This window comes from Homo sapiens, chromosome 5 (genome assembly GCF_000001405.40).
Source record: "Homo sapiens chromosome 5, GRCh38.p14 Primary Assembly".
Taxonomy (NCBI): domain Eukaryota; kingdom Metazoa; phylum Chordata; class Mammalia; order Primates; family Hominidae; genus Homo; species Homo sapiens.
In genome coordinates, this window is record NC_000005.10 from 59,380,148 (window position 1) to 59,401,416 (window position 21,269).

The 21,269-nt window shown below is 37.3% G+C and overlaps 1 protein-coding gene across 26 annotated transcripts in view, besides 1 other annotated feature; it reads right to left on the reverse strand.

Annotated features, from left to right (window-relative positions):
• PDE4D (phosphodiesterase 4D) overlaps positions 1 to 21,269 on the reverse strand; it is a 1,553,091-nt gene that overhangs the window by 411,110 nt on the left and 1,120,712 nt on the right. The gene's annotated exons all lie outside the window — the stretch shown is intronic.
• Positions 14,593 to 15,093: an enhancer, noted in NCBI's record as "H3K4me1 hESC enhancer chr5:58690566-58691066 (GRCh37/hg19 assembly coordinates)". NCBI's record gives its function as "activates a minimal SCP1, AML or CMV promoter by ChIP-STARR-seq in naive H9 embryonic stem cells {active_cell/tissue: H9 hESC(naive)}" and the evidence as "EXISTENCE:reporter gene assay evidence [ECO:0000049][PMID:30033119]".

Sequence of the window (21,269 nt, forward strand, 5' to 3'; positions counted from 1 at the left end):
ATCTGTCAATATACATTATTATATGCATAAATCATATGCATAAATAACATGCATTATTTTATTATGATTTTATAAAAGATTGACACAACATAATTCAAAATAACTTATTTACTACAAATAGGACTCACCACATGAAAATTAGAATCTAAAGCAATTAAAAAAACTATTAGGAAATGAAAAAAAATCCCATCATATAAATCCTCAATTTTGGCCATATTTTATGAAAGGGCCAAAAGCAATCAAAAAAAAAAAAAAAAAAGAGAGAGAAAGAAGTGAGAAAGAAGTAGGAAAAAAAGAAGAAAGACATGTGGCTATTATTACAGCAACATGAAGGTGGTCAACCACTTCAAGTTTTTGTGGTCAGTGAGGTCACAAGAGCTACAGGCTGACATTTCAAACAAATTATGCACATTGAGGTCACATCGCTCTACTTCAGGCAGTTTCTCATAATTGTAGTGTTCTGTTTACAAGAGGTCCTTGACTTAAAAATGTCCTTTTGTGCCCTCTAGTGTTTAAATTCATCAAAGCTTTTGAGAAGTTCATATCTTGTTTCTGAACTCCAGTTGAACAACATTTCATTCTTAGACCAAGTGTTTATCTGTATCTGAAGGGGGCCAACATACATCTTGTTCCAAAATCTCTAAAGTTTACTTAATTTTTTTTTTATTTCAAAGGGAGCTAGGTAGGGGTTGGAAAACTACCACAGAGCAAATCCTGCCCACTACTTTTTTTCATTTTGTAAATAAAGTTTATTGGAACATATTATGCTCATTCATTACAGATTGTCTACAGATAACTGCATTTGCTCTGCAACAGCAGAGTTGAGTAGTTACTACAGAGTTCTTGTGGCCCCAAAAGGCTAAAATATTTACTATCTGGCTTGTCACAGAAAAAGTTTGCTGACCCTGGAGCTAGAGCTCTGATAATTAGATTGGATGCCATGACATTTTACAATGCCCTTTAATTCCACTCCCTTTCCATCAACCCCCGGAATACTAGTTAAAACAAAGACCATTGTAGGCCAGTCCATTAGCTTTGTGGTCCAGGTACAAACTTTGCAGTTTTAGTGAAACCATTTGTTAATTTTTATTTTTCTAATATTTACTTAGCTTGATAATATCAACTCCGTTCTGATGACTTCGATATTAATATGATTATATTGGAGAGAATATAATGAGATCAAATCGCTTTACCCATCAAGACCAGGAACTGAAGAACTTCTTCCTCCTTTGCTACCTCATCTCTTAGCTAGAACTTAGGTGAGTAGATTAGTATCCTCATTCCTCTTTATTTTTATATAATTAATAATAATATTTGCAATTATTTTGAGAAACATATATCTTTTTTTGAATAAAGTAAACATACCGTTTATAATTAATATGGAATTTAGTTTAAGTTCATGCTTGATTTAAATCTCACACAATCACCTCTTTTATATACTAATGAAAGCACGGTGCACAATAATAAAGCCGTGGTCCTATGTGGTCAACTTACAGGCTACCTTCTTTCCTCAGTGCAAATATCACGTCTTTCTAAGTCCCTCTAATATTTTATCCTCTCTTTTGTGTATCTAGAAGCTTTACTGAAACTTCCTACTCCTTATCTGAAATAGTTGACATATAGTTAATAAGAGCTTTTTTCCAGGAAGTGGATCTATTTTATTGCTTTCTAACTTAACATGTTTCAGAATAGTTACAGCCATTTTTTTTATTCAAAGGTACATGTCAGCAATAGTCTGGCCAGAAATTTTGCACAATAATAGGAGAAAACAAAAAACTAGGGGCTTAGAAAAGTGAATGAAAACAGTTTTCAGTTGATTATTTTGTTCCTGAAAAGGCATCTTTTCCTCATGACATGCATTCATGGCCATTGTAGATTACATGCCTGGAGCTGCCCTTCTCAGCCTTTCAACCTCTCATTACATGCATATTCTTTCCTCTGTTCTTTACAGTCCCCCATTTCCCTGACACAGACCCCGCACTACAATCCTCTTCCTTATACTTGACACAGAAATAATTTAAACACAAACCCAAATACAAACACTGCATAGATTTACCATATGGAATCACATATGTAAAATTTCTGAATCAAATAACGCAAACCCACAATGTTACTTTCCAAATATATACAACAACAACAACCGAATGGGTGGTGAAACATATTACTTATGAAAGGTGCTCAATGTTAAAAGCAATTAAAATAAAATTCAGAAAAAAGTGATACCATACCTCTATTCCACAAGCAAAAAAAATTTCCAAACTTACCTGCAAAAGAAAAGAACAATAAATCTCAAATCAGAGGATATTTTATTTTTTTCTAGTAAATTTGGCAAAATTGTCATCATAAATATAGTTATTTCTTAATTATCACTGTGTATATCACTCTCTGTAAATAATGCTTATTGGTTCTTATAGATACCAACAGGGCTGGCAGTGACATTCTCTAAAGGCCAATTCTCATAGTCCATAGGGTCATTTTCCATATGTAATCTGCTTCATAAGAAAGTTTTTAGAACAAAAACTTAAACAATTCCCTGGACCCAGGAAATCTGCATTACAAGACATTTTTGGGGGTGCTAAATCCAAACAATGAAAAAAGAAAAGGTTTTGGGGTCAGACTGACCTGGACTGAAATCCTAGTTCTACTGTAGCCTGGTAACTCAAGCCATTTTATGTCTGTTGAGCCTCAGTATTTTCGCCTATAAAATGGGGACATTATATTTATGTAATTCAATTATTCTAAGCATTGAAGTCATTTTGTGGCATGCTGTAGACACTCAAAAAATATTGCCTTCACACCATCCTGTAAGCTTTATTTTATGCCAATACTTTGCTGAAACATAAATGCTTAGTGCGGTATCTAAAGCATGGAAGAGCTTTAAGCAATTAATAATGGATAGAAAAGTAACAAGTTTTACATTTCCATCTTCATAGTGTGACCAAGTTGGTTTACATGAAATATTAATCATCTTCTAGATGCTGGGCAATTTATTTCCCGGTGTAAATTCAAGTGTTTCACTCAGAGTTCAATCAATTAACTGAGAGTATGGCAGTCTTTAGCACGGTCTCTACATCCCATATATTCACATGATGCCCCCTATTATGTCCCCATTCACGATCTCACTTATGTCCCCTCACTGCAGCCTCACTAGCCTTCCAGCCATTCCTGGAAAAATCGCAAGCCTGCTCCAGTCTCAGGATATTTGCATTCCCTGCCCATTTGCCCACGAATCTATCCCCACTCCCCTTCAATCCTTGCCTCAAAGGGCCCTTTCTAACCTGATTTCCCTATTGCAAATTCTAACCATATTCTCAGCCTCTGTATTGAACTCCCCTGCTATTGCACTATTTGTTCCCTAGCACTGAGAGCCTTCTAAGACGCTACACAATGTATTTATTTACTATGCTTACTGAGTCTCTCTGTCCCTACCACTCCATATAAGCTACACAGAAATAGGGGTGTCTGTTTTGTTCACTATTGAATACCCAGAACCTGGAACAATGCCTGGTAAATAGAAGCTATTCAAAAAACATTTGTTTAAGGACTCAATAATACACATATGAAAAAACCAAATATAAAAATATAAATTATACATATATAATCCATATGTATATTTGTTTATATACATATTTTGCTTATATACCTACATATTTATCACACAAATATTTACATGCTGATTATCCATAGGAATTTTTAATTTTTAATTAAATTTTTAGCTAGAAGTAAACCATTTTTGTTTTTGTTTTTGTATTTGTTTTGAGATAGGGTCTCCCTCTGTCACCCAAACTGAAGAGCGAGTGGTGCAAACACGGCTCACTGCAGTCTCAACTTCCTGGACTCAAGCAATCCTCCTGCCTCAGCTTTCCAAGTAGCTGAGACTACAGGCCCATGCCACCACACCTGGCTATTTTTTTATTTTTTTAGTTTTTTTTATTTTTTGAGGAGACGGTGTCTTGCCAAGTTACCCAGGCTGGTCATGAACTCCTGGACTCGAGCAATCCTCCCACCTGGGCCTCCCAAAGTGCTAGGATTATAGGCGTGAGCCACTGCGCCAAGCCCTATTTTATTTTTACTTAACAATTATTATGAGAGAAATTGAGGCAACCATTAGCGATACTGGCTCTCTCTTTGTAGCTCTCCACCCTCAGGACACATGTAGATGCACTTAATAACCCTCTTGTAGTTGAATGGAGCCACGTGACTAATTCTGGCCAATCAGCAGCCAAGCGTTGATTCGCTGGTGTGAGACTCTCCATCTCTTCCCCTTTCTCCTTCTGCCAGAAGGATCAACAAAGTCCATGATGGTAACTCTGTCAGTTTCTGTACCAGAGTGAGGAGGCTGTGCAGCAGAGCTCCCTGTCGATGATATGTAGTATGGGAAACAACAATCACTATCATCTTTGTTGTTACAAGATTTAGAGGTTGTCAGGGCAATTTAACTCACCCATCAGGATAAATAGAGAAATTATGCACATATAATTTTAAAATTATACTGAAAACCTTATTCAAAAAACAGTCTGCAAAACTATACTATATATATTCATTGTGAATGCTCTTTCTCAAGTCATTTTGTTTCTGCTGGTAATTAACTCTATAATTCTAAGTAATATGCTTATACTGGGTTTTTTTTTCTTGATTTTCATTTTTTTAGCCATTATCTATTCATTTCTTATCATAATAAACATTTAATTATCTTATACTGATCTCCAGTTCCCTTTTTTCACCTAGTTACATCACAATTTTTAGTTAAATTAACAATCACTGTTTACATATTTTTACTATATATAAATCTTATTTACTATGTATGTAATATATACATATTTGCTTTACGGCTCAACTTCTGTTTTGCTAGTAGTTAATAATTGCTTTGGTTCTTTTCCAAATGGTACTCATATCTGCCACCCCTCTCAGATGCTCTAGCAAATTGGATAATCTATCAATTTCATTTTCTCTTTTCAGCCTCCTCCTCAACACCTTGTACTCTTGCTTCAATCTGTACTTCTCAGCTAGTTGCTTTCTAGGCCCGCTAGAAATCTGACATCCTAAGCATTCTTTCTGTTATTTCCCGTGTTGATTATTGGATCTCATGATTTCCTTTTTGATAGCTTCCTGCTTTTTGTGGGTCACATTTTATAGAAGCTCAAGTGGCAAATGAAGTGAATAGTATTAATATTTTACATTTTTTGGATCTTGCATCACTAAAGATGGCTTTATTCTGTCTTTACACTAGTTCATAGTTTGACTTGCTAAAGGAGTCTATGTTGAAATGTAAATTCCTTCAAAATATTGAAGCCATTACTCTATTGTACTCCAGCATCTATTTTTTTAAGTAATTTATCATTAATCTGATTACTTTCATTTTAGGTAGAGGGTGGGGTAGGAGGCAAGGTTTCAGCATTCATGATGCTGACTCTTCTGGATGTTGAAATGCACTGCCCAGAATCCCCTCAGCATGTGTTTCTCCAGTAGAGGGTATACTGCTCTTGCCCAAGATTATACCCATTTATACAGAGCAGTCTGCAGACAATGGCTATTTGATAAACGGGAAGGAGATAGTATAGAGTCCTAACCCCTTCCTCTAAGTTTTAGAAACCCCAACTGAACCAGAAGAGGCCTCCATTGAGCCTTTAACCCTGTTCCTACTCTTCTTCCTGTGGTGCTCACACTGAGAACATTTCCCCACAAACACCCTGCATCCCAATCTCTATCTATCTCGGAGTATCTCAGGGAACCAGATCTGCACCACAGACATTCCCTTCATTCCTTGTTTCAGCCCCACACCTCATCCCTGCAGGGTGCTACATCTTCTCTCTCAGAGTCCTGACCCTTTCTGAGAACATTTCTCTAGAAAATAAATCTTGGGTATTTCTGTGGTAGGGTGTGCGGGTAGAAACAGGAGCCTTGGATAGGATGTGGGGAGGCAGCCTTCTCTTCCATTCTCACACCTTTCCTTTTAAATTCCTCCATTTAATTACAGATAATATGAACATATGGTCCATTCACTACAATTGATTAGGAGTCCATTCTTTTAGATTGTTGGTTCATCTCTGTTGGCATGAATTAAAAACAATTTTATCTATTAAAAGTAGAAAAGGTATAAGAACATTTTCCAAACTGTTACATTGAATACTAGTTTTTGAGATGTTAAGAGTCCAGTTGAATAATAAAAACAAGAAAAAGACTAGAGAGTCAAATAATTTGTAAATATGGCTTCAAAATCTTAAAGAAAATATTTCTTTTTATTACGTGACTTCTAAGAGCTTTAAATATACTAATTGGAATGTGACTATTCTAGAAGGTGGAGAGCATTTGCAGAGTAATTAGACCATTCCCCTGTAGACGGCAGTTAATATCAGAGTAAGCCATGTTTTAGAATATGACTTGGGCCTGGGCATGGTGGCTCATGTCTGCAATCCCAGGATTTCTGGGAGGCTGAGGTGGGAGGATAGCTTGAGCCCAGGTACTCCAGCCTGGGGCACAAAGCAGGACCTTGTCAAGAAAGAAAGAAAGAAAAAGAAAAGAAGGGCAGGGCAGCGCAGGAGGAAGGGAGGGAGGGAGGGAGGGAGGGAAAGAAAGAGAAAGAGAAAAGACAAAAAGAAATATGCCATGGGAATTGCTGCACAAAGCATCTTAATCTAAGTTTTATACTAATCACAGGGCTTCTATTACTCCTACAAGAATTCCTTTACCTTAGCTGGAGAGGTAAAATGAATTGCTAAACACTTAAAAACCAGCATGACTGTACCAAGGAATAAAACATGTTAACTCTGTTTCAGGTGAGTGCTTTCTCCATTACATCAAATTGCCTGCTTACTTAAAATTAATCATAATATTTGAATTAGGATCACGTAATGTAAAAAAATCTCATTTCCCAGAATATTCTACACTAGAAATCAATTTCTCACTATCCTGCTGAAATTTGTCCAAGCAATCTGCATATATTTTTAAATCTATCTTTTTTATCTCTAGTTCAGCATGTGCCATAATGTTCTCTGTGGAGCACCCAACCCCATTACTCTGTAAGCAAACAAAAAGTTAACTATTTAATAAAGTTTGGAATATTTTGCCTATGTATCTCCTTCCTGGATATTTACAATATTTATTTAGCTTCCAGTAATATATCAGTTTAATTTTATGAAGCTCAGCTTATTTGACCATGCAACCATTTTGCAGGTAGTACCTGTTGATATTAGCATTCCACAAAACCTACTTTGGGAAATACTAACCTAGGTTACTAAGGTTCATACTAGCAAGAGATGAATAAGACTAACTATTATAAATAATAATGGAGAAAAAAAGAGCTCCAATGATCTGACACAGAGAAATGGATTTTATGAAGGGACATGATTTCTCAATGAGAAAGAAAGAGGAAACAGAAAACTAATAGTTCCATTGTATTTCCATAGTTAGGGTGGCGTATGGTTAGGATTCTTTGTTCAGTTTTATAAACCTCGTACTGTCATGACTTCATTAACCCAAGGCTAAGCTGTAATTCTAAAAGGTATATATATATTTAAAAATTGACAAATAAGAATGTATATATTTATGATGTAAAACATTTTATTTACATAGATGTATACATTGTGAAGTGGCTAAATCAAGCTAATTAATATATACATTACCTCACAAACTTATCTTTTTTTGTGGCAAGATCACTAAAAATCTACTCTTTTAGCTATTTTCAAGTATGCAATGTATTGTTGTTAACTATAGTCACCCTGAGGTACAATAGATCTCTGGAACTTATTCCTCCTGTTTAACTGAAATTTTGTGTCCTTTGACTAACATTGCCCCAGTCTTCAGCCCCCACCCATCAGCCCTGGTTAACAACCATTTTATTCTGTTTCTATGAGTTTGACATTTTTAGCTTTCACATTTAAATGAGATCATGTGGTGGTTGTCATTCTGTGCCTGACTTATTTCACTTAACATAACGTCATCCAGATTCATCCATGTGATCCCAAATGACAGGATTTCCAAAATATATAAGGAACTCAAAAAGGTCAATAGTATGAAAACAAATAACTTGATTAAAAAACAAGAAAAGGATCTAAACAGATGTTTCTCAAAAGAAGCCATACCAATGGCCAACAGGTATATGAAAAAAATGTTCAACATCACTTAATAATCAAGGAAATGCAAACTAAAACCACAATGAGATATCAACTCATACCTGTTAGTACAAAAAAGATGAAAGATGGCAAGGATGTGGAGAAAAGGGAAGATGTTTACACTGTTGGTGGGAATGTATATTCACATAGCCATTATGGAAAACAGCATCGAGGTTCTTTAAAAGCTAAAAATAGTACTACCATATTATCCAGCAGTTTCACTACTAGGTATATATCCAAAGGAAGTGAAATCAGTGTGTCAAAAAGATATTTGCACTCCCATGTTCATTATAGCATTATTTACAATAGCAAAGATACAGAATCAACCTAAGTGTTCATCAACAATGAATGGATAAAGAAAATGTGGTACACACACACACACACACACACTCACACACTAGAATTCTACCCAGCCCTGAAAAAGAAGGAAATCCATAATAACATCTTTTATTTTGGATAGAATGGACATCAAGGGTATTTGTGACAGATATACCATGAATGACATGAACCTAATATTAAATATTTATTTTTGTTGATGTAAGGAACATTAATAGCCTAGAAACTATAAGTTTTAAGATTTAGCTTAGGAACTCAAACGATGTAGCAAATATATTTCATCATGATTTGATCTATCTATATCAATCTTATAAAATTGTGTGAGCATGAGGTTTTGGGGATGAAGAGATAATGGAATCAAATTTTAGCTTTTACCCCCAAACCTTCTAGACTTTAATTGTATATTATGTAAAATGTAAGTATTTAAAATATGAAGTTCATGAATGGGTTCATGAGTCAACCGCAGGGGAGTTGGTGAAGCCCCTGAAACTATATGAAAAATTGTGTGTACATTTACATTTTTCAAGAGAGATTTGATCTAGTCAAATTTTCAAAGCACCCTGAGATACCCAAAAAGTGATAGACCCCTTAAAGAGATAATCTCTAAGAATTCTGTCTCCTTTTTCATTAACAGTTTTATAAGCTTTCTTATGAAAAGTATGTCATGTTTATGATATTTAGTAATTTCTTTGCTGAGCCTTCATTTTTAGCTATTCAAGAAATTTAAAAGTAAATTGTAAATATTACAATTAGTTTCTAAGGATTGTTTAAAATATCATTAATTATATAAAATTTTAATATATATTTTCAGTTCTTCAGCTAGGACAGACAGAGCCTCTTTAAAAGATTTTATTTGATGCTGGGAAGGGTGCTGGGAAAAGAGAACTCCTATACACTGACGATGGGAATGTATATTAGTACAGCCATAATAGAAAACAGTATGGAAGTTTCTCAAAAAACTAAAAATAAAACTATCATATGATCCAGCAATCCCACCACTAGGAATTTATTCAAAGGAAAGGAAATCAGTATATTAAAAGTACACCTGCACCCCCATGTTTATTGCAGCACTATTCACAATAGCCAAGATATGGAATCAACCTAAGTGTCCTTGATGGAACTGGAGGTCATTACAATAAGTGAAATGAGCCAGGCACAGAAAGACAGATATGGCATGTTGTCACTCATATGTGGGAGCTAAAACAGTGGATCTCTTGGAGGTAGAGAGTAGAATGATGGTTACCAGAGGCTGGGAAGAGAGAGGTGGGATGAAAAGAGGTTAGTTAATGGGTACAAGCATATAGTTAGATAGAAGAAATAAGTTCTAGTGTTCGATAACACAGAAAGGTGACTATAGCTAACAATAATTTATTGTATATTTCAAAATATCTGGAAGAGCTGAAGTGTTCCCAACACAAAAAATAATAATCGTTTGAGGTGATGGTTATCTTAAATACCCTGATTTGATCATCACACATTGTATGCATGAATCAAAATATCACATGTACCTCCTAAATATGTATAATTATTATGCATCAATACAAATATTTACAGTAAAAAGGAGATTTGAATTGTAAGAAAAAAAGAGAAGAAATTCTATTTTTGCAACTTATAATAGTTATTATTTGTGTGAGATACTCACTTGCCCACAAGATGGCGCTCTCTAATTTTGGATATACTATTTTCCCAAACCAATTTCTCAAGAAGTTATTTCTAAAGTGTTCTCTTCCCTGAAAAATAATATTTACAATAAATTATTCTTCACTACTGTTTGATTTTCATGCTTGAACATCTAACAATGCATGACAAAGTATATGTTAATGTTTTTGTGTGAGTGGATTGATGAATGGATGTTTCAGACATTCACAGAATGTTTACTAAATTTCTGCTGCATAAACAGCTTTGCACAGTGGATTTATAAACAAAGAAACAAAAGGTGTTAAAGTATAAAGAGCAAATCAGGGTTACTATTTTTCAAGTTAATATTTTTATATCCAAGAGTTTCATATTTAAATGAAAAATGATTGTTATAGACATGTAAATGTACAGCAAAGAGAAGACATCGGTTCAGTTAGGTAAAAGACCTTATAAGTTGTTGTGACTTATGAAGAACTTTAAGGTTTGTATGAGAAGGAGGTAAGGGGAAGATATTTAAGAGGCGGCAAATAACATAAGAAATAGCTTGAAATTATGTAGTCATGCCATCCCAAAATAAAATGGCCTCCCATTAGATAAGGCTAGATGAGTTACAGAGGGTGGTAAAAGTCACTCCAAGAGGAAGAAAAGGTAACTAATATTTACTGAGAACATAATATAACTCATACTGTTATTTAATGATCTTTCCCCACCCTTGAAAATACGTGGATGTGCCTCTTATTAGAGTGTTAGAATTATGGTGCTATATTTGGATATTTTGAGTAGGTTGCACTTCCCTAAATGTTGTACTAAATCCCAGTATACAGTCACCAGAGGAATAGAGATTTCCCAGAGAGGAAATCAGAGTTAAGGAGGTGAGCCTTAAGTAAGCATAGGAGGAGACTAAACTTCTCTGTCTTGATTCTCAATCTCTTGAGTAATGACTATGTCTTGTGGAGCCCTCTCTTGTGGGAAAGTTAAAGATGGCCTCTGCTGTCCAGTGTGAAGAGGGAGTCAGAAGAAGAGTTTCTCCTAGGGGACTTCATTTGAATAAGATATCTCCTATGATAGAACAAATTATCTAGTTTCATGTTACTTTGATTCTACATAGTTTGTCAGTAAAGTGTTGCTTTAAAATTCCTGCTTTGTCTCAGCTGTTAAACAAAGAAAAGGATTTTTTTAAAACCCACATTTAGATCAAATTGACTTAAAAAGAGTACCTGTCTGTCCAAAGGATGATGGTAGTGAGAACAACAATGAGAAAGACCCTGAAAAAAAGAATTCTGCTTCTCACTGATCTCTCTTTCTTCCCTTATTCCCCTAAAGTCATCTCCAAATTAGGAGTCAGAGGGATCTTGTTAACATCTGTTTAAAGGTCTTTGTTTAATAAGGCAAAGCCACTAGTAAGATGAATAGAGCTCTGAGTCCCCTTCTGTTTCATCTCCAACTTTTTCCCTTATTCTCCACTTTGCTACTTCACTCCAGCCACCAGGACCTTCTTACTGTCCCTCCATGATGGCAGGAGGACTTTTTGTACCTCCTTCATGTTTGCTCACATGCTACCTTCTGAATGAGGTCTTTCCTAACACCACTTAAAATTCCACCACCCACCACACACACATTCGTTAACCTCTTCTCTAATACACTTTTCTTCATGGTATTTATCACAAAATCTTCCCCATACATATTTTTAAATATAGATATATAAATAAATATATATTTCTATATATTACATATATATATAATATATAAATTATTTTCATCTTTCACTCCCAGCTGGAATATAAACTCCACAAGGGTAGAATTTTTGTCTGTTTCATTCACTGCTGTATTTTTTTTTACAGTACAGAGAAGAAAGCTCAGAACATAGTATGCCTTCTGTGATAATCCTGAGTGTGAACTTGAGTGGATGGAAGGATACAAAGTATTGATCCTGGGTGTGTCTGTGAGGGTGTTGCCAAAGAAGATTAACATTTGAGTCAGTGTGCAGACCCACTCTTAATCTGGGTGGGCACAATCTAATTAGCTGCCAGCGCTGCTAGAATATAAGCAGGCAGAAACATGTGAAAAGAAAGACTGGCCTAGCCTCCCAGCCTACATCTTTCTCCCATGCTGGATGCTTCCTTCTCTGAAATATTGGACTCCAAGTTCTTCAGTTTTGGAACTTGGACTGGCTCTCCTTGCTTCTCAGCCTACAGATGGCCTATTGTGGAACGTTGTGATTACGTGAGTTAATACTTAATAAACTACCCTTTATATATATGTGTGTGTGTCTATATATATATATATATATATTCCATTAATTCTGTTCTTCCAGAGAACCCTAATATACCTTGTCATATTTATTGAATCAACTTTTTAAAAGTCTAATTTCTGTGTTCTCTTGAAAAATCAGAAAGCCTGCCAACCCTGGCCTATATTTTCACATGATAACAACTGTGAGGAGCTCAGAAGTCACTGCGCATGCAGGTGAGGATATATCTATACCCTCCTTGCCCAGGATCCCCCTGCCTTCTCCATTTGAATAGCTCCTGGCTCCTGCAGATATGTGAGTTGTGACCTGCTGGAAGAGTCCTGAAAGGGAGAGTGACAGGATCAAATGAAGACTTTCAGTAAGTCACCTGGAAATAGTGTGTAGGATTAATTTAACGAGTCTGGAGGTTGATGCCTGTTAGTATCTGCTGTCGAAGTCCTGGCATGAATGGATGAGGACCTATGTGATGTGAACTCAGCTGAAGAATGAAAGACAGGGGAAGTAGAGTTTGAAGAAAGGATTAATTGAACCTGAGGATGGATTGGATATTAAAAATGAATGAAAAGAAAAAGTAATGATGACTAAAATTTCTAGACTGGATAATTAGGAAAATGTTAATTTCTGATGTAAAAGGGAACTCAGGAAAGAGTCAACCTAGGACAAAAATCAAAAGACCTACATATGGAAAGAAATATACTGATTTGAGTGAACCCAAGCAGAGTTTGAAGACACAGATTCAAAGGTATTTGACAACAAAAAAAGGACTTTGAGATCAATGCCAGAGATGGGGACTCAATTTTGCATACTGCTTATATACTGCCTACGTAAAGGCACTTTATGATAAAGAACATCTCAAAAAAATAACATATAGAACAAGGGGCAAAAATAGGGGATAAAAGAGATGATTCCCAATTATTGGTCAAGTGGTTGGAGTGAGAATTAAAGGCAAAATTCCTCTTCTCCCCCTCAAAATTACACACAACTACACAAACATATGTGTTAATGATTTTAGTGTGTTGAATCTGGCTGCTTCCACACTGCATGCATCCTACCTTTCTCCATTCACACCTGAGATAATCTCATTCTAGTGAAGTCTTACATTATAAATGACAACACCAATATTTAGGGACGTTCCTCTTTTTTCTTCACTGACTTTGCCTTTCCAAACAATATACTTTGTGAATCCTCTGAGAAAAAAGAAAGTAGTTTGATCTGCTGGTTTTTAGGACAATAATTTTTAAAGGACTTGTTATTTTTGGTTCAGACACCATGCAAAACTCATCTTCAATCAAGGGCAGGTGCCAGGTACAGCATCAAGAAAGTAACAGGTGGTTTCTCTTCCTCTCCTTTCCTCTAAAACATGAATAAAACAAAAGTTTTAGCATTTCAGAAATAATCTTTTTAATTAAAAGTGGAAGATAAATGTGATAAAAGTTTTCTTTGAGCTCTTGAAAACAAGTTCATTCTATAAGGGTTAGAAATAGTATTTTTTATCTGTCACTAGAGCCATTGTACTGTGGGGCCTAATGTTTCAGATTTTGGATACTCATTTCTTTCGATTGAAGGTGTCATCAGGTGTTTTCCACCTTTAGTGATCTCAAGTGGTTCCCCTTCAGTTGCTAAAATATACTGTGTCGTTTGAGCAGTCCAAGACCCACAGAGATCTGCTATCTATATTGGCAGATAAATGACAGCAGATGGAATTGAGGCTGTGTTCTGTCTCATCGGCAAGCCTGCAGCCTTAGAAGAAGAGATGTGCCCCTGAAGCATTATGCAGGTTGCTCATCCAGAATCAGTGTCACTGTCATAGTTTGTGAAAGGGAAATTGGCAAATCTCTATACATAATAGGCAAAATGCAACCCTCTCAATTCTCAAAGGCATATTCTCTTCACTCACATTTTTGTCTTTTTGCTGAAGGGAGGTTTCTGGGCCAAGATGTTCTGACAGCCTGGTATTTTCTTTTTTTGCCCAATGTGTAAGAAGATAATTAATGTTACCATTAATGCATGCAATGACATTAGTATCAATTCCCTTAGTGATATATATGCACTAGGAAATGAACACAAAAGTTAATTAACAATTTATTGAGCATATACTATATTACAAGTTTACTATACAATTGTGCTTTATTACTATTGGTGAAAATAATGAAAGATGGCACTTTTCTATTCTTCACCATATACAAGGCACAGTTCCAAGGATTTAAAATCTATCAACTTTATGAATCTTTACAACAGGAGGAGCCAAGATGGCCGAATAGGAACAGCTCCGGTCTACAGCTCCCAGCCTGAGCGACGCAGAAGACAGGTGATTTCTGCATTTCCATCTGAGGTACTGGGTTCATCTCACTAGGGAGTGCCAGACAGTAGGCGCAGGTCAGTGGGTGCGCGCACCGTGCACAAGCCGAAGCAGGGCGAGGCATTGCCTCACTCGGGAAGTGCAAGGGGTCAGGGAGTTCCCTTTCCTAATCAAAGAAAGGGGTGACGGATGGCACCTGGAGAATCGGGTCACTCCCACCCGAATACTGCGCTTTTCCGACGGGCTTAAAAAACAGCACACCACGAGATTATATCCCGCACCTGGCTGGGAGGGTCCTACCCCACGGAGTCTCGCTGATTGCTAGCACAGCAGTCTGAGATCAAACTGCAAGGCAGCGGCGAGGCTGGGGGAGGGGCGCCCACCATTGTCCAGGCTTGCTTAGGTAAACAAAGCAGCCGGGAAGCTCCAACTGGGTGGAGCCCACCACAGCTCAAGGAGGCCTGCGTGCTTCTGTAGGCTCCAACTCTGGGGGCAGGGCAGGGCACAGACAAACAAAAAGACAGCAGTAACCTCTGCAGACTTAAATGTCCCTGTCTGACAGCTTTCAAGAGAGCAGTGGTTCTCCCAGCACGCAGCTGGAGATCTGAGAACTGGCAGACTGCCTCCTCAAGTGGGTCTCTGACCCCTGACCCCCGAGCAGCCTAACTGGGAGGCTCCAGCAGGGGCAGGCTGACACCTCACACTGCAGGGTACTCCAACAGACCTGCAGCTGAGGGTCCTGTCTGTTAGAAGGAAAACTAACAAACAGAAAGGACATCCACACCAAAAACCCATCTGTACATCACCATCATCAAAGACCAAAAGTAGATAAAACCACAAAGATGGGGAAAAAACAGAACAGAAAAACTGGAAACTCTAAAAATCAGAGCGCCTCTCCTCCTCTAAAGGAACGCAGCTCCTCACCAGCAACAGAACAAAGCTGGATGGAGAATGACTTTGACGAGCTGAGAGAAGAAGGCTTCAGACGATCAAATTACTCTGAGCTACGGGAGGACATTCAAACCAAAGGCAAAGAAGTTGAAAACTTTAAAAAAAATTTAGAAGAATGTATAACTAGAATAACCAATACAGAGAAGTGCTTAAAGGAGCTGATGGAGCTGAAAACCAAGGCTCAAGAACTACCTGAAGAATGCAGAAGCCTCAGGAGCTGATGCGATCAACTGGAAGAAAGGGTATCAGCAATGGAAGATGAAATGAATGAAATGAAGTGAGAAGGAAAGTTTAGAGAAAAAAGAATAAAAAGAAACGAGCAAAGCCTCCAAGAAATATGGGACTATGTGAATAGACCAAGTCTACGTCTGACTGGTGTACCTGAAAGTGATGGGGAGAATGGAACCAAGTTGGAAAACACTCTGCAGGATATTATCCAGGAGAATTTCCCCAATCTAGCAAGGCAGGCCAACGTTCAGATTCAGGAAATACACAGAACGCCACAAAGATACTCCTCGAGAAGAGCAACTCCAAGACACATAATTGTCAGATTCACCAAAGTTGAAATGAAGGAAAAAATGTTAAGGGCAGCCAGAGAGAAAGGTCGGGTTACCCTCAAAGGGAAGCCCATCAGACTAACAGCAGATCTCTCGGCAGAAACCCTACAAGCCAGAAGAGAGTGGGGGCCAATATTCAACATTCTTAAAGAAAAGAATTCTCAACCCAGAATTTCATATCCAGCCAAACTAAGCTTCATAAGTGAAGGAGAAATAAAATCCTTTACAGACAAGCAAATGCTGAGAGATTTTGTCACCACCAGGCCTGCCCTAAAAGAGCTCCTGAAGGAAGCGCTAAACATGGAAAGGAACAACCGGTACCAGCCGCTGCAAAATCATGCCAAAATGTAAAGACCATCGAGACTAGGAAGAAACTGCATCAACTAACGAGCAAAATAACCAGCTAACATCAAAATGACAGGATCAAATTCACACATAACACTATTAACTTTAAATGTAAATGGACTAAATGCTCCAATTAAAAGACACAGACTGGCAAATTGGATAAAGAGTCAACACCCATCAGTGTGCTGTATTCAGGAAACCCATCTCACATGCAGAGACACACATAGGCTCAAAATAAAAGGATGGAGGAAGATCTACCAAGCAAATGGAAAACAAAAAAAGGCAGGGGTTGCAATCCTGGTCTCTGATAAAACAGACTTTAAACCAACAAAGATCAAAAGAGACAAAGAAGGCCATTACATAATGGTAAAGGGATCAATTCAACAAGAAGAGCTAACTATCCTAAATATATATGCACCTGCAGGAGCACCCAGATTCATAAAGCAAGTCCTGAGTGACCTACAAAGAGACTTAGACTTCCACACATTAATAATGGGAGACTTTAACACCCCACTGTCAACATTAGACAGATCAACGAGACAGAAAGTCAACAAGGATACCCAGGAATTGAACTCAGCTCTGCACCAAGCAGACCTAATAGACATCTACAGAACTCTCCACTCCAAATCAACAGAATATACATTTTTTTCAGCACCACACCACACCTATTCCAAAATTGACCATTTACTTGGAAGTAAAGCTTTCCTCAGCAAATGTAAAAGAACAGAAATTATAACAAACTATCTCTCAGACCACAGTGCAATCAAATTAGAACTCAGGATTAAGAATCTCACTCAAAACCGCTCAACTACATGGAAACCGAACAACCTGCTCCTGAATGACTACTGGGTACATAATGAAATGAAGGCAGAAATAAAGATGTTCTTTGAAACCAACGAGAACAAAGACACAACATACCAGAATCTCTGGGACGCATTCAAAGCAGTGTGTAGAGGGAAATTTATAGCACTAAATGCCCACAAGAGAAAGCAGGAAAGATCCAAAATTGACACCCTAACATCACAAGTAAAAGAACTAGAAAAGCAAGAGCAAACACATTCAAAAGCTAGCAGAAGGTAAGAAATAACTAAAATCAGAGCAGAACTGAAGGAAATAGAGACACAAAAAACCCTTCAAAAAATTAATGAATCCAGGAGCTGGTTTTTTGAAAGGATCAACAAAATTGATAGACCGCTAGCAAGACTAATAAAGAAAAAAAGAGAGAAGAATCAAATAGATGCAATAAAAAATGATAAAGGGGATATCACCAACGATCCCACAGAAATACAAACTACCATCAGAGAATACTACAAACACCTCTATGCAAATAAACTAGAAAATCTAGAAGAAATGGATAAATTCCTTGACACATACACCCTCCCAAGACTAAACCAGGAAGAAGTTGAATCTCTGAATAGACCAATAACAGGATCTGAAATTGTGGCAATAATCAATAGCTTACCAACAAAAAGAGTCCAGGACCAGATGGATTCACAGCCAAATTCTACCAGAGGTACAAGGAGGAACTGGTACCATTCCTTCTGAAACTATTCCAATCAATAGAAAAAGAGGGAATCCTCCCTAACTCATTTTATGAGGCCAGCATCATTCTAATACCAAAGCCGGGCAGAGACACAACCAAAAAAGAGAATTTTAGACCAATATCCTTGATGAACATTGATGCAAAAATCCTCAATAAAATACTGGCAAACCAAATCCAGCAGCACATCAAAAAGCTTATCCACCATGATCAAGTGGGCTTCATCCCTGGGATGCAAGGCTGGTTCAATATACACAAATCAGTAAATGTAATCCAGCATATAAACAGAGCCAAAGACAAAAACCACATGATTATCTCAATAGATGCAGAAAAGGCCTTTGACAAAATTCAACAACCCTACATGCTAAAAACTCTCAATAAATTAGGTATTGATGGGACATATTTCAAAATAATAAGAGCTATCTATGACAAACCCACAGCCAATATCATACTGAATGGGCAAAAACTGGAAGCATTCCCTTTGAAAACTGGCACAAGACAGGGATGCTCTCTCTCACCACTCCTATTTAACATAGTGTTGGAAGTTCTGGCCAGGGCAATTAGGCAGGAGAAGGAAATAAAGGGTATTCAATTAGGAAAAGAGGAAGTCAAATTGTCCCTGTTTGCAGACTACATGATTGTATATCTAGAAAACCCCATTGTCTCAGCCCAAAATCTCCTTAAGCTGATAAGCAACTTCAGCAAAGTCTCAGGATACAAAATCAATGTACAAAAATCACAAGCATTCTTATACACCAACAACAGACAAACAGAGAGCCAAATCATGAGTGAACTCCCATTCACAATTGCTTCAAAGAGAATAAAACACCTAGGAATCCAACTTACAAGCGACATGAAGGACTTCTTCAAGGAGAACTGCAAACCACTGCTCAATGAAATAAAAGAGGATACAAACAAATGGAAGAACATTCCATGCTCATGGGTAGGAAGAATCAATATCGTGAAAATGGCCATATTGCCCAAGGTAATTTAAAGATTCAATGCCATCCCCATCAAGCTACCCATGACTTTCTTCACAGAATTGGAAAAAACTACTTTAAAGTTCATATGGAACCAAAAAAGAGCCTGCATCACCAAGTCAAACCTAAGCCAAAAGAACAAAGCTGGAGGCATCACGCTACCTGACTTCAAACTATACTACAAGGCTACAGTAACCAAAACAGCATGGTACTGGTACCAAAACAGAGATATAGATCAATGGAACAGAACAGAGCCCTCAGAAATAACGCCGCATATCTACAACTATCTGATCTTTGACAAACCTGAGAAAAACAAGCAATGGGGAAAGGATTCCCTATTTAATAAACGGTTCTGGGAAAACTGGCTAGCCATATTTAGAAAGCTGAAACTGGATCCCTTCCTTACACCTTATACAAAAATTAATTCAAGATGGATTAAAGACTTACATGTTAGACCTAAAACCATAAAAACCCTAGAAGAAAACCTAGGCATTACCATTCAGGACACAGGCATGGGCAAGGACTTCACGTCTAAAACACCAAAAGCAATGGCAACAAAAGCCAAAATTGATAAATGGGATCTAATTAAACTAAAGAGCTTCTGCACAGCAAAAGAAACTACCATCAGAGTGAACAGGCAACCTAGAAAATGGGAGAAAATTTTCGCAACCTACTCATCTGACAAATGGCTAATATCCAGAATCTACAATGAACTCAAACAAATTTACAAGAAAAAAACAAATAACCCCATCAAAAAGTGGGCGAAGGACATGAACAGACACTTCTCAAAAGAAGACATTTATGCAGCCAAAAAACACATGAAAAAATGCTCACCATCACTGGCCATCAGAGAAACGCAAATCAAAACCACAATGAGATACCATCTCACACCAGGTAGAATGGCAATCATTCAAAAGTCAGGAAACAACAGGTGCTGGAGAGGATGTGGAGAAATAGGAACACTTTTACACTGTTGGTGGGACTGTAAACTAGTTCAACCATTGTGGAAGTCAGTGTGGCGATTCCTCAGGGATCTAGAACTAGAAATACCATTTGACCCAGCCATCCCATTACTGGGTATATACCCAAAGGACTATAAATCATGCTGCTATAAAGACACATGCACATGTATGTTTATTGCGGCATTATTCACAATAGCAAAGACTTGGAACCAACCCAAATGTCCAACAACGATAGACTGGATTAAGAAAATGTGGCACATATGCACCATGGAATACTATGCGGCCATAAAAAATGATGAGTTCATGTCCTTTGTAGGGACATGGATGAAATTGGAAATCATCATTCTCAGTAAACTATTGCAAGAACAAAAAACCAAACACCGCATATTCTCACTCATAGGTGGGAATTGAACAATGAGATCACATGGACACAGGAAGGGGAACATCACACTCTGGGGACTGCTGTGGGGTGGGGGGAGGGGGGAGGGATAGCATTGGGAGATATACTTAATGCTAGATGACGAGTTAGTGGGTGCAGCACACCAGCATGGCACATGTATACGTATGTAACTAACCTGCACAATGTGCACATGTACCCTAAAACTTAAAGTATAATAATAAAAAAAATAAAAAAATAAATCTTTACAACATTCCTATGAGTTTAGCATTTACCAACTGCATTTTAGATATGAGAGAAAATGCTAATAGTTATTATTCATAGTAATACCAACAAAAATAATAGCTAACATATGAGTATTTGCTAAGTTTTAGGTACCATTATGTATGTTACATAAATATGCATGTATGCATATATACAGGTTGAGCATCCCCATCCAAAAACCTAAAATTCAAGATGCTCTGAAATCCAAAATGCTCCAAAGTCTAAAACTTTTTGGTCACTGACATGAGATAGTGACTCCTTTGCTGATGGTTCAGTGTACACAAACTTTGTTTCATGCACAAAATTATTTAAAATATTGTGTAAAATTACCTTCAGGCTATGTGCACATGGTATACATAAAACATAAGTAAATTTCATGTTTATGGCTGGGCATGGTAGCTCACACCTGTATTCTCAGCCCTTTGGGTGGCCAAGGCAGGAGAATCATTTGAGAAGAGGAGTTCAAGACCAGCCTGGGCAACATAGAGATATCCTGTCTCTACAAAAATTTTAAAAATTAGCTGGACATGGTGGTGCACACCTGTAGACCTGCACACCTGTAGATCGCTGGAGCCCAAACGTTCAAGGTTACAGTGACCTATGGTCATGCCACTGCACTCCAGCCTGGGCAACACAGA